General features: G+C 45.5%; 1 protein-coding gene across 3 annotated transcripts in view; it reads right to left on the bottom strand.

Annotated features, from left to right (window-relative positions):
* The window catches only part of EGFLAM (EGF like, fibronectin type III and laminin G domains), a 206,922-nt gene that overhangs the window by 42,769 nt on the left and 150,576 nt on the right, over positions 1-13,577 (bottom strand). For all 3 annotated transcript variants that reach the window (NM_001205301.2, NM_152403.4, NM_182798.3), the window contains 2 exons: positions 10,064-10,208; positions 4,457-4,646 (listed from right to left, as the gene is read on the bottom strand). In NM_001205301.2, coding sequence (NP_001192230.1) covers positions 4,457-4,646; positions 10,064-10,208 — 335 coding nt within the window. The remainder of the gene's footprint in view (positions 1-4,456; positions 4,647-10,063; positions 10,209-13,577) is intronic.

Below are 13,577 nucleotides of genomic sequence, written 5' to 3'. Positions count from 1 at the left end.
ATCATTCATACTTGTTGCTACTTTGAAGTCATGGGAGTTATTTCACCCACCATTAAATAATTCTGTTCTTAATATGCTTTATAAAGGAGCACATATATTATTGTAAAAGCAAAACTTTAAAAATATGTGATAGAGCTGGGTTTCAATATAATTGTTTCCCCTTATAATATTACATATATTATTTTTCTCCATTTAAGAACATCATTATGAGAAGAGGTCCATGGGCTTCCCCAGACCACCAAAGGGGGCTGCAGTGCCAAAAAGGTTAAGAATCCCTGGGCTACTGAGAAGAGAGAACCTGGCGGCGAGGGCCCAGGGCAGCCAGGAAGGGTGAGTGCAGAGTGTAGCTGAATAGGTTCATTTTAGGGGGAAAACTCTTAACTCAAGAGTGATGGGGAGGAGAGGTGGGTGTGGCAAGGTCATGTATACACAGACCTCATTATCAATATGTAAAGTCACTTTCACCAGCGCCTACCATAGGCCAGTTGTTGTGTAGGTTTCTGCTAGATAAGAAAGCGAGAGGTAGAAGAGAAATAAGACTCCTAAGGAGGGGAAAGAATGTGGAACATCATGGGGTGGAGTTCCTTAAAGAGACCATGAACAAGGAGAAACTTCCCTGTCCCCAACCCCTAGTCCGTAACCGAGGCCCACCTATTTTTCCCCTAATGATCTGTCAGATCCGTCTCTGTTTCTACCACCACCACCACCTGGATCACACCGTTATTTGTCATGTGACCTACTGCAATAGACCTCAGCTGGTCTACATGTATCCCTGAAAGCCCCGTCTAATGAGCTGTCAGAAGATCTTCTCAAATCACAAACTAGATCATGGCACCCATCTCCCCCTTCCTCTTCCCCTGGAACAAGCCCTTCCCTCTGCCTGGAATGTCCTTCTTTCCCTTCTCCACATTTTCACTCCTACTCTTGCTTCATATTAACTTCCTCTTCTGAGAAACTCTTTCCCTGGCCCCCAGACCCTACAACCTCCCTATTAAACATCACCACTGCAGCACCACTTCTCCTCCATAACACTTACCCCAGGTGTAACTTCACCTTCACTGTGTGATTACTATATTAATTTGGTCTCTCCACATGGCAACTATATGAGGACTGAGCTGGATCCTGTCTTGTTCATTACTTGATCTCCAGCACCCAGCACTGTGACAAGCACTAAGCAGGTGCTCAGTGAAGTATTTATTGAGTGAAATGAGGAAAAGAGCTCGTAAGCCATAGTGAGACCCATGGTCACCGCAGACCCCCTGAATCTCAAATACCCTGGGAAGTGGCTCTGTGACTGCTCCAGCAGAGTGGGGATATCCAAGATGGGATTGGCATAAATGAGTGGTGGAAATATAGGTTTGAGAATCTGAATGGAAATAATCAAGAGCTGGACCAGAGAATGCAAAATTTGCTGAGATTTCTGACCAACTATTCTAGAATGTGACTTGCAGAGAGCACAGGAGCTGGGAACAGTCTAACGAAAGACAGGATATGAAGTGGAAGGAACTGAGTAATGCAAGCCCCTCTGGGGAATAAAAACGGGTTTAGTGGGAAGGCAGAGAAAAAGTCACAGTTGAAGATGGCAATGACAAGTTAGAGATATCAGATGGAGAACCATGACCTCCCTGGTGAGGCTGCGTTTGACTTACAAAAACTTGAATTTCAGGAGGACTAACCCAAAGGACAGCAAACATGGAAGCTGAGGAAGGATAATCAGCCCCACTCTTATAACCCCGGGGGAAATGAAATGCGAAGAAATGTAAAACACCAACATGGCTGACACATGCCATTAATATTCACAGAGGGAAGTCTATACAGTAATCCAATAGCTGTATCCAGGGAGCTGAAGCCCACAAGAGAGGTCCTTTTGGTGCCACCTGCTGGAAAAGTGGGTATCGCACTGTGTCAGAATTAACAAAGCTGGCAGAAATCAGTTCTTGCCCAACTTTACAACCTCTGAACTACCTGTCAGAGGTTGCCATGCCATTTCAGGACTACCAGGTTTATTCAGGGCTGTTCCCCTGAAGAAACAGATTATAGCTGATTTGATGGGAGGGTTAGAATATGAATAACAATATTAATAACAGGAAACATTTACGAAATGTTTGCGATGTGCAAAGCCCTATTCTAAGTGCTTTTTACACACCACAACTCATTTAAACAAAATAATCTTATGAGGCAGCTACTATTTCTAGATGGGGAGACTGAGTTGCAAAAATTTTTCAAATCCAGGCAATCTGCCTTCAGAGTCCAGGCTCATAAGCAAGGCATGTGACTCCTGATGGAATGGCTGGTTCTTATGTTCTGAATCATCACAGAAAGAAGATGGATTTTGGAGACATTGTCCTACCATAGTGACAGCTTTAATAATTGTTTCAGTCATTGCTGCTTACTGTTTACTTTGACCAAGTAATCAATGGATGGTAAACTATTTTTGTTAAGTAAACTTCATCTTTTATAGTTATAACAATGGCATCACCTATAGGAGTGAACAAGGTGGAGGGAAACAATTTGGTAGCCATTGATGTAGCTGATTTTGGTAAGAGGGTAGTCACTTGTGCCAGAATGGCTGAGGTCACATTAGACTCTACCACTTACTAGCTGTGTGACCTTGGGCAAGTTACTTAACTGTTCTGTACCATTGGTTTTTTGTTTTGTTTTGTTTTGTTTTTTGTTTTTTGTTTTTTAAGACAGTCTCACTCTGTTGTCCAAGCTGGAGTGCAGTGGCACAATCCTGGCTCACTGCAACCTCTGCCTCCCAGGTTCAAGCAATTCTCCTGCCTCAGTCTTCTGGGTAGCTGGGATTACATGGGTGTGCCACTAAGCCCGGCTAATTTTTGTATTTTAGTAGAGACAGAGTTTCACCATGTTGGCCAGGCTGGTCTCCAACTCCTGACCTCACGTGATCTGCCTGCCTCAGCCTCCCAAAGTGCTGAGATTACAGGCATGAGCACTGTGCCCAGCCCCATTGGTTCTTATCTGTAAAGTAAGGCTAATGATAGCACCTACTTCACAATAACCTTGGAAAGATCAAAGTAATTTAGAATGGTGCCTACTTAAAGTAGGTGCTCAACTAATAATATTAGCTACAAGAAAAACAAACAAAACAAAAAACTGTTCTAGGAGTCATGAGGATCGAATCCTACCTCTGACTGAGGAATGGAGAAAGGGATGAATTGATATGTGGTCAAGAAAATGCAGCAAAATGTTAACGGTAGAATCTAGGCAGTGAGACTATGCTGTTCACTGTGCATTCTTTCAAAATAGCATCTTAGAGATGGAGGGAAAAGAGATTCAAGGAGGAGACTTGCCATTTCTTGCCAAGGACAAAGTCATGAGGATGTGACGCTTAGAGTAGTGAGTGAAAAGGAGAGTATCATAGGGATATCGACCCAGAGTCCTGATATCATAGAGACCCTGTTATGAACTGAACAGCTTTTCCCCCAAAATTCACAGTTGAAGTCCTAATTCCCTGTATTTGGAGATAGTATCTTTAAGGAGGTATTTAAGGTTAATTGAGGTCATAAGAGTGGGGACCTAATCCAGTCCGATTGGTGTCCTTATAGGATGATATTTGGACATACAGACATACCAGGGGTGTGCACACATGGAGGAAAGATCCCACGAGCACACAGCGAGAAGGTGGCCATCTGCAAGCCAAGGAGAGAGGCCTCTCCAGGAACCAAATTGGCTGGCACCTTGATCTGGGACTTCCAGCCTCCAGAACTGTGAGAAAATTAATTTCTGATGTTTAACTTGCCCAGTCTGCAGTATTTTGTTATGGCAGCTCTAGTAGACAGTCCCTGAATTAACCAACCTGGGAATTATCTACCTGCTGCCTTCAGTGATAGAATAAATGTCCTTATTGCTTTAAAAATAAGCCTAGCTCTGCCTGCTACTTTCAATAAGTTATTTAACTTCTGCAAGCCCCAGTTTCCTCATCTGTAAAATGGGCATGATAATAACTTCTACCTCTTAGCGTTAGTGTGAAAGTAAATGAGAGAGCATATGAGAAGATGTTTGGCACAGCGATCACAAATTAGAATGTGACCACTTCTTTAAGAAACAGAGAGTGTATGAAAGCTCTTCTTACATTACTGTGTTGGTTCTTCCACTGGACTGGGTGAGGTAAGGTAAAAGGGCTGGATCGCTTGTTGCTTTGTCCAGTAAGACCATGCCATATTTCATGATGAGGCCCAAATTGCTAGCAGGACAGAACCAGGGTTTGGTGCACCATACTGTTACCATATCTTGGTGTTCAGATGCGGGGTCAGCAGCATGTCTGCAGAGCACCAGCCTCACCCCTGAGGCCCACCTCCCTCCTGATGTTCTGAAGGTACCAGCTTCCCAGGGTAGCACCTAATGTTGCTGCTCCCTCCATGGCCCAAGCCAGAAAGGCAGTCCCATAAGACATAAGTCCCATAAGAGTACCCCAACCCACCAGGCAGCCACTTACCCACATCAGCCCCACTGAGTGCTTTTCCCAGGGGCCAGGGCCTCATGTCAATTCTCCTCCCATTCACAGCGAGCGACTGCACACAGCCTTGAAAGCCTCGGTTTGTCCCTGTTGCTCTAACCAACCAGTAAGCGCTGGGAGCGCCACCAAGATAGAGAGGTGTCCGGAAAGTAATTTTACTGTATTGGCCCTTTAAGAAAGATGACCACTCATGAATACTCTCACTAAACAAAATCAAAAGCCAAAACACACCAGATTTTTATGAGGGACATGGTTAAGACGTCAGTGACAGCCCCAGCATTTTCTTCCATCTGTATTTATCTTTAAGACCTTGCCTTACTGGAAAATTAAACCCACGATTACCGTAGGGAGCTCAGTGAGTTTCTCAGAGGGCTGTGCTTCCAGAAGGGAGGATTTTGGAATGTCTAGAAGGGAAGGGAAGGGAGGTCAGAGACACGCCTCACCCACCAGGCAGTGAACCATGCTAGGCATCCAACAAAAACGTTCTCTTTCCAGTCTTGACACCAGTTGACTGTGTACTTTGGAAGGATCTTAGGGGGCTATTCTGTGCCTCCAAAGGTGATAATACTAATTTTGTATACAGTGGCTAACAATTACCTTTTCACTGTCCTAGTCACCTTTATACTATATCCTGAGAGAAACATTGTTGGGGTGGACGGGGGGTGGAGGGGAATTACCAAACAGATTATGATGCAAAGTGTTTTGAAATTTGCTTATGAATATGACTTCTTTTTTTTACAGTGAGGTAGGGAAACTTCCCATCTTAGACCAAACCACAATCTGGATTGCAGGTTTAAAGGTTACAAAATACAGAGCTGAAGATTAGATGGGACAAAATTAAGTCACCCTTGGCCTTTTTTTTTTGTTTTTTTTTTTTTTTTTTTTTTGAGACAGAGTCTCGCTCTGTCTCCCAGGCTGGAGTGCAAAGGCACCATCCTGGCTCACCGTAACCTCCGCCTCCCAGGTTCAAGCAATTCTCCTGTCTCAGCCTCCTGAGTAGCTGGGATTACAGGCATGTGTCACCACGCCTAGCTAATTTTGTATTTTTAGAAACGAGGTTTCACCACGTTGGTCAGGCTGGTCTCAAACTCCTGACCTCGTGATCTACCTGCCTCAGTCTCCCAAAGTGCTGGGATTACTGGCATGAGCTACCACGCCCGGCCTGGTCATTCTTTTTTTTATGACCAAAATATCTCATTTATCTGCATTACAGGGTAAGGAAGGGTGTCAGGGAAAGGCACGCTGCCAGAACTTATAAAATGTTCAGAGTGTAAGACTCTGAAACATAATCTTGATACTTTAAACTTCTGTTACCAGCAAGTGGAAAATCTAATGATTGTTTTATCTTTTCTGATGAAGAGATAAGAATCATTTGTAAATAGTAGACTCAACACAAGCTAGGAAGTGGGTTTTCAGGGTCAGGTTACGCTGTTTGCCAGCCACTGAGCATGCTGCTTTCATTAGATGAGTTAAATGTCCTCTTGGCTTCTTTCACCAAGATTCTCAGAATTCACTTCTTCTGGATCCCATCCTGGCCCTTCCAGTTTTGTTCCATGATCTGGGACCACAGCAGAAGGCCTGACAGCTCAATCCTTTTCTAGAGCATAAAGTGCCTTGTAGGGGTGGGTAGCTATTTTGCTGTGCCCTTCGCAAGATCCCGGGCAACAGTCTTCAAACCTGGCTTTTACATTTCAGATGAGGGTTGCCTTCTGATCCCTGGAGCTTGCTTTGCCTGCCTGTACAGAGAAATGGAAGTGCCCTGGAATTCACATTCTCCCAGGACAGCCCTTAACAGTTTCGGATGAGTCTGAGGTATAATTTGTACTCCAGAGCTCCTCTACTGGATCAGGCAGAAGCCATACCCTGAAAAACTTGGCCTGAGATCTCACTCTTGCTGATATCCTCTTCTTCCCTGTCCGTCTCCTCTCTCTTAGCAGTTTCTCCTGGGAGCACTTTCTTAATACATCACTTGCACAGGACTCCACATCTCAGGTCTGTTGCTGGGGAATCCCACTTCAGATAGAATCAGTGTCTCTCAGAAAGCTTATTAAACAGCCACATCTGTGGTCCTGCTTTACAACTTGCTTAGCAAGTCTCATTAGTATGGAGGCAATCTACAGCCTGAGTATCCATAAAGCTACATGCTTCTTGCAATTACTTATTTTTTTAAAAAAAAAACATGATGATATGGCTTGGCTGTGTCTCCACCCAAATATCATCTTGAATTGTAGCTCCTATAATCCCCACGGGTCGTGGGAGGGACTCAGTGGGAGGTAATTGAATCATGGGGGTGGTTACCCCCATGCTGTTCTCGTGGTAGTGAGTTCTCATGAGATCTGATAGTTTTATAAAGGGCTTTTCCCCGTTTGCCCAGCACTTCTCCTTGCTGCTGCCACATAAAGAAGGACGTGTTTGCTTCCCCTTCCACCATGATTGTAAGTTTCCTGAGGCCTTCCCAGCCATGCAGAACTGTAAGTCAATTAAACCTCTTTTCTTCATAAATTACCCAGTCTCAGGTGTTTCTTCATAGCAGTATGAGAACGGACTAATACAAATGGGGTCTGGCTATGTTACCCAGGCTGAAGTGCAGGGCTATTCATAGGCTCAAACATGGCTCACTGCAGGCTTCACCTCCTGGGCTCAAGTGATCCTCCCTCCTCAGCCTCCCAAGTAGCTGGGACTACAGGCATATGCCACCACACCTGGCTAATTTTTCTGTTTTTGGTAGAGATGGGGCTTCACCATGTTGCCTAGGCTAGGCTGAGTTCAAGTGATCCTCCTGCCTTGGCTTCCCAAAGTGTGGGAATTATAGGCGTGAGCCACTGTGCCTGGCAATCAAATTAATTCTTAATTCTTTTCTTTTTTTTTTTTTGAGATGGAGTCTTGCTCTGCAGCCCAGGATGGAGTGCAGTAGCGCAATCTAAGCTCACTGCAACCTCTGCCTCCCAGGTTCAGGCAATTTTCCTGCCTCAGCCTCCTGAGTAGCTAGGATTACAGGCGCCCACCACCACGCCTGGCTAATTTTTTTATATTTTTAGTAGAGACAAGGTTTCACATGTTGGCCAGGCTGGTCTCGAACTCCTGACTTCAAGTGATCCACCCACCTCAGCCTCCCAAAGTAATGGTATTGGAGGCATGAGCCACTGTGCCTGGCTCAATTAATTCTTATATTCATTAAAATCATAGAATCTTGAGATTAACAAAAAATATAAAAACTCTTATAATTCAAGCTTTCACTGGCTGTTGGATTCCTGGTACATCCCTAACAAGAAGTTTAGATAAGTTATGCCTTGAACACCTCCCAAGGATGCCCCCCTCTCCTGAGATAGTCTGTTGCACTTCTGTCCCTTTGTATGATTAGGTGAAGCTAAAATCGACCTCCTGAGGCTCACTCCATTCAGCTCTGGCCTTGAGGGGGGGTCCATGGAGTAAATCTTTCTTTCCCAAGACTCTCCCTTTGACTCTATAATGAAAAGCCACCTTGCATGCCTTCATCTTCTCTTCTCCAAACTAAACATTGCTCCTTCAATCAATCATTGAAGGGATTTCAAGTCATCTTCCAGTTTGGGTGACTACCCCGGAACTGCTCCAATTTGTCTGCAGCCTTCTTAGAATGTGATCCAGATGTGAATGTAATCCTCTCGGAGGATTAGAGTCACCATCTGAGTCACTAGAAGCTATCACATAGTCACCAGAATAGAATAAGATCATCACCTCCCTTTTTTAGATGCTATGACTCCGTTAACACAGCCTATAATTCTTTAGCTTCTTGTTACCACATGACCCTGTTTGTTAACAGCTATGGAACTTCCCCCACTTTAAGCGATTAGACATTTTCACAGGCTTCTATTGTAGCTTCCCCATTCTGTCTTCATGTTAGTATTTTGGACCCAAGCTAGAAGTTTCTTTATTCCTATCAAACTAACTTTTATCATGTTAGACCTATAGTCCTGGCACTGATGCAGTTCGCTGACCCTGTCTTTTTCTTACCTAGCCATCTGAGCATAAACAATCTCCCTGGATTCACATTTACTAAATTTGAATTCTTAATCCTTTGGAATCACTGGGATCCAAACTAATGAGATATTTTCTTCTATATTTTGGAAGGCAGGGTGTCAGCAAGGCATAGCCCTTTATATCAGGGGTCCCCAACCCCTGGGCCATGGACCCATACCAGTCTGTGGCCTGTTAGGAAGCAGGGTGCGCAGCAGAAGGTGAGTGGCGGGGTGAGCGAGCATCTCCGCCTGAGCTCCGTCTTCTGTCAGATCAGCTGTGCCATTAGATTCTTACAGGAGCACGAACCCTGTTGTGAACTGCGCATGCGAGGGATCCAGGTTACACGCTCCTTCTGAGACTCTAACCATGCCTGATGGTCTGAGATGGAACAGTTTATCCCGAAACCATCCCCCAACTTTGGTCCGTGGAAAAATTGACTTCCACAAAACTGGTCCCTCGTGCCAAAAAGGTTGGGGACCACTGCTTTATATAATGTGTCTTGCTGGCAAAGAGTAGAGAGGAGCCCAGGCAGGGAGGAAGCTCTAGACATATAAACAAAGGCTTTCTTGCTACATTTTTCCTTGGAGAATACAGACACCTGCCTGATTATAATTATAGGCTCAGTTCCCTGGCAGGCTGCTAATCCAAACTGTTTATTCTGAACATAGTCCTAAAATTGCCCAGACCATAACAAATATGTGAATACTAGGTGATTTGCTGAGTAGCCCAACAGTCCAACTTTTTTTTTTTAACCATTTCCTACAATTACGGCCCCCCTCAAAGGTAGATGAACAGCTTATTCCTGCATTTTGAACCAAGTGAACCTTTCAAGACTGTCTTCTAAAGCACAGGATTGCAACACTCCTGCCCTAAAAGCAAGCTTTGTGTTTGACACTAATAATGGCTTCTAGGCTGGGTGTGGTGGCTCATCCCCGTAACCCCAGCACTTTGGGAGGCCAAGGTGGGAGAATCGCTTGCATCCAGGAGTTCATGACCAGCCTGGGCAACACAGTGAAACTCTAACTCTACAAAAAAAAAAAAAAAAAAAAAAAATTAGCCAGGCATGGTGGCACATGCCTGTAGTTCCAGCTACTTGGGAGCCTGAGGCGGGATGGTTTGAACCAGGGAGGTAGAGGCTGCAGTGAGCCATGATTATGCCACTGTACTCCAGCCTGGGGGACAGAGTGAGACCCTGCCTCCAAGTAATAATAGTAATAATGGGTTCTATTTTTCTAATATGGGCCTTCTTCTACTGCTGGCTTTGATGTACTTAGGGAAAGAGAACATGTCCTTGGGCACAGTCCTGCAACATGGACCTATGCACCAACAGCAATGATGCTTGCAAGTTTAATTCTTCTCTTTGGTAGATGTGCGGTGGATGTGTGCCCTGAAAGCTCACCTGGAGTGCAAGACCACTCAGTAGCACATCAAAGGTCTGTTGCATGGGTTCACCATGAGAAATAGGCCTTACCAAGCCCATCCAGAACTTGAATCCTGCAGACTCTGCCACGGCTCTCTGCAGTAAGCCCTTCTCAGGAGACTTATGGTGGGTGGTATGTGGGGTGGGCAGGGTGTGGGGCTCATACATACCTGAGACTGGCCTGTCACTGGGGTGCCATTGTTCAGCTGCAGCAGCCCGTTCAGCCCATCTCTGTAGAGCATAACCGTGTGCCAACCCCCTAGTTTGATTTTGGTCTCACTTACGATGATGGCAACCCCAGTTCCACAATTAAACCTGTTGGGGAGGAAAAGGAAAAGAAGATTTCTTGACGAACCAGGCCATTATGTTTTCAGATTCCGTGGACGTCACTTCCAGGTCAACAGCTCCCTTCAGAGTCAGTCTGTTCAGAGTCATGTTTATGAATATCAAGTGCTGTTGAAATCAATACAGGGAAGAACTAGGCACCTCTTCCTGGGGACGATCTCCGTCTAGTTATCTTTCATCTGCCCATAGGACCTTTCCATGCAGGGCCTTTGTTAACCTGATTTTTTCTGCAACTTAGAAAATCATGGGCATTTGGGTACTGTGCTCGCTACCTGCATGACGGGATCTGTACCCCAAGCCTCAGCATCATTCACTATTCCCACATAGCAAATCTGCACATGTACCCCCTGTATTTAAAATCAAAGTTGACATTAGGCCAGGCATGGTGAGTTACGTCTGTAATCCCAGCACTTTGGAAGGCGAAGGCGGGCGGATCACCTGAGGTTAGGAGTTCGAGACCAGCCTGACCAACATGGTGAAACCCCGTTTCTACTAAAAACACAAAGATTAGCTGCACATGGTGGTGGGTGCCTATAGTCACAGCTGCTCCAGAGGCTGAGGCAGCAGAATTGTTTGAACCCAGGAGGTGGAGGTTACAGTGAGCCAAGATCAAGCCACTGCCTGGGCAACAGAGTGAAACTCTGTCTCAAAAATAAATAAAAATAAAAAAATAAAAGTTTAAATTTTAAAAAGCTGGGCACAGTGGCTCACATCTGTAATCCCAGCACTTTGGGAGGCCGAGGCAGGTGGATCACTTGAGCTCAGGAGTTCGATACCATCCTGGCCAACATGGTGAAACCCTGTCTCTACTAAAAATACAAAAGTTAACTGAGCACGATGGCAGATGCTTGTAATCCTAGCTACTCAGGAGGATGAGGCAGGAGAATCACTTGAACCCAGGAGGTGGAGGTTGAAGTGAGCCCAGATTGCACCACTGCACTCCAGCCTTGGCAACAGAGACTCTGTCTCAAAAAAAAAAAAAAAAAAAAAGAAATTAATGAAAGGTAGTAGCTAATCCGCATTCCCGTTTTCTTTTCTTTTCTTTTGAGAAAGAGTCTCGCTCTGTTGCCCAGGCTGGAGTCCAGTGGTGTGATCTCTGCTCACTGCAACCTCCGCCTCCCAGGTTCAAGCGATTCTCCCACCTCAGCCTCCTGAGTAGCTGGGACTACAGGCGCATGCCACCACACCCGGCTAATTTTTGTATTTTTAGTAGAGACGTGGTTTCGCCATGTTGGCCAGGATGGTCTCGATCTCCTGACCTCGTGATCCGCCCACCTTGGCCTCCCAAAATCCTGGGATTACAGGTGTGAGCCACTGCAACCAGCTCCCATTTTCTTTTGACTGGAAGTACATGATCACTTCTGCTCGGAAGCAATTTAGCCTTCTTTGTTTCTGAAAAGGACAGGACCCATAAGAAAAGTAAAGGAAAAATCATAAGAAAGAGAAAAAGAAAAGAAAATGATGGGCAACTAAGGACCTCCTTCTTGTTTTCAGCAATTGCCAAATGCTTACAGTGAATTCAAGCTACAGTGAATAGAATGCAAGTCACTGTGTTTCCAGGGATTTCTCTGGGGACTTTCCAAACTCTCAAATAATAAAGCTCAGTGATATTCATAAAATATAAAAATCCAGGTCTTCAGGCTCATTTTGGCAAGCTGGCCAGCCCTGCCATCTGTGCTTAGCTGTACCTCAATACAGGCGAGGTCCACAGGAGGCTCAGCAGTGAGGTGAGACAGAGGAGGGGTGTCCTCAGATGGCTGCATTATTCTTGTTTTTATCCCAACCTCCCTATGGCCCAGGAGTGCCCATGGTCACTATGCCTAACAGGTGGAATCTTGGACCTTTCTGGTCCACTTCCAAATAGCCACCATGCCTCTTCCACATGGATCCTGAGACTGCCGGTGGGGAAGGAGTCGTAGCCGGCATTTTCCTTACTAGGATTTGCATTAACTGCAGCCACTTCTCAGGCCCTCCCTTTGTCTCGAGATCCTCAGTGAAGTGAGATGCAGTCAAGAGGCATTGCAAAACAGGCTTACCCTGAAGAGGATAGCAGATTCACTCAGCAGGAGTTACATAGTTGGAGAGCTGCTACCAGCTAACAACTGCCAGTGCTACTGAGAGTCTATCCGATCCTCCAAGTGCTAGGACCCTACAAGGTGAAAACCACCGCCCAAGATCCTGGTGGCTAACACCAAACTTCTGTGAATCAAATCATTTAGTAAAGCATGGGGGCCCATTTTCTAGCCCAAGTGGGATGCTCAGAAGCCTTCTTCAACTTAACCAAAAACACTTTTATGCTGAAGGTAATTTAAGAAGACAATAATGGCTGATGCTTATTGAGTACTTGCTCTGGGTCAGACGCTGCTCTAAGCGCTTTTATGAATTAACTCATTTAACCCTCACAACAGCCCCATGAGGAAAGGCAGGCTTGGAGAGGTTGCGCCACATGCTGAAGGTCAGGCAGCAGGGGGTTGGTGCCATTAGGATGTCAGCCAGTGCGCCACGGAGAAGGACAAGGCTGGTGCCCGTTGGTTGTTCACAAAGAGGTGCAGTGCACACCTCCACAAGACTCATTAAAATCTTCACCCTTCGACAAAACTCTGCCCCCCAGGAAGACCACACATAAGCTAAAGGTGGCTTCCAAAGTGTGTTGGGGGAGAAACGATGAGGGCAGTGGAGGCAAGCCAAAGAGTTCCCAGCACAGCCCAGAGGAAGATGAGGATGGTAAGCCCATAGGAGGTTGGAGGCTCCTCTCAGTCCACACCTGTCAGCCACATTTGCCAAAGGGAGATGAGAAGGCCCCAGCCTTCTTCCCATCACATCCACTAGAGCTCCAGAGAAAAGAAACTGTATTCCTTTGGCTCACTCTGCATCCTCAGGATTGACAGGAGTGCCAGGTACCCTCCTCAAGAAACATTCAGCAGCACCTACAGCACCAGTTACATCCAACAGTACCTCCAGCACCAGGTACATTCAACAGCACCTCCAGTGCCAGGTACATTCAACAGCACCTCCAGAGCCAGGTACATTCAACAGCACCTGCAGTGCCAGGTACATTCAACAGCACCTGCAGCATCAGGTATGTTCAACAGCATCCCCAGGACCAGGTACACTCTACAACACCTCCAGAGCCAGTTACACTGTAGGTGCTGCTGAATGAATGAATGATTTCCAAAACCCAAGTTTTATAGGTTATCCTGCAATCCCAGTACACCAGTATTTGGTAAACTGGTTCATACTCATTTTATACAAACCATTCTTTCATCTACTAGAACCTATCCTGTATATATTTTTTCATACTATAAAAAGGCAAATATAATGTAAGATAATGTAACAAAA

This window comes from Homo sapiens, chromosome 5 (genome assembly GCF_000001405.40).
Source record: "Homo sapiens chromosome 5, GRCh38.p14 Primary Assembly".
Classification (NCBI taxonomy): Eukaryota; Metazoa; Chordata; class Mammalia; order Primates; family Hominidae; genus Homo; species Homo sapiens.
Note: the sequence above shows the minus strand (reverse complement) of the source record. Positions and strands in the feature narration are given on the sequence as shown.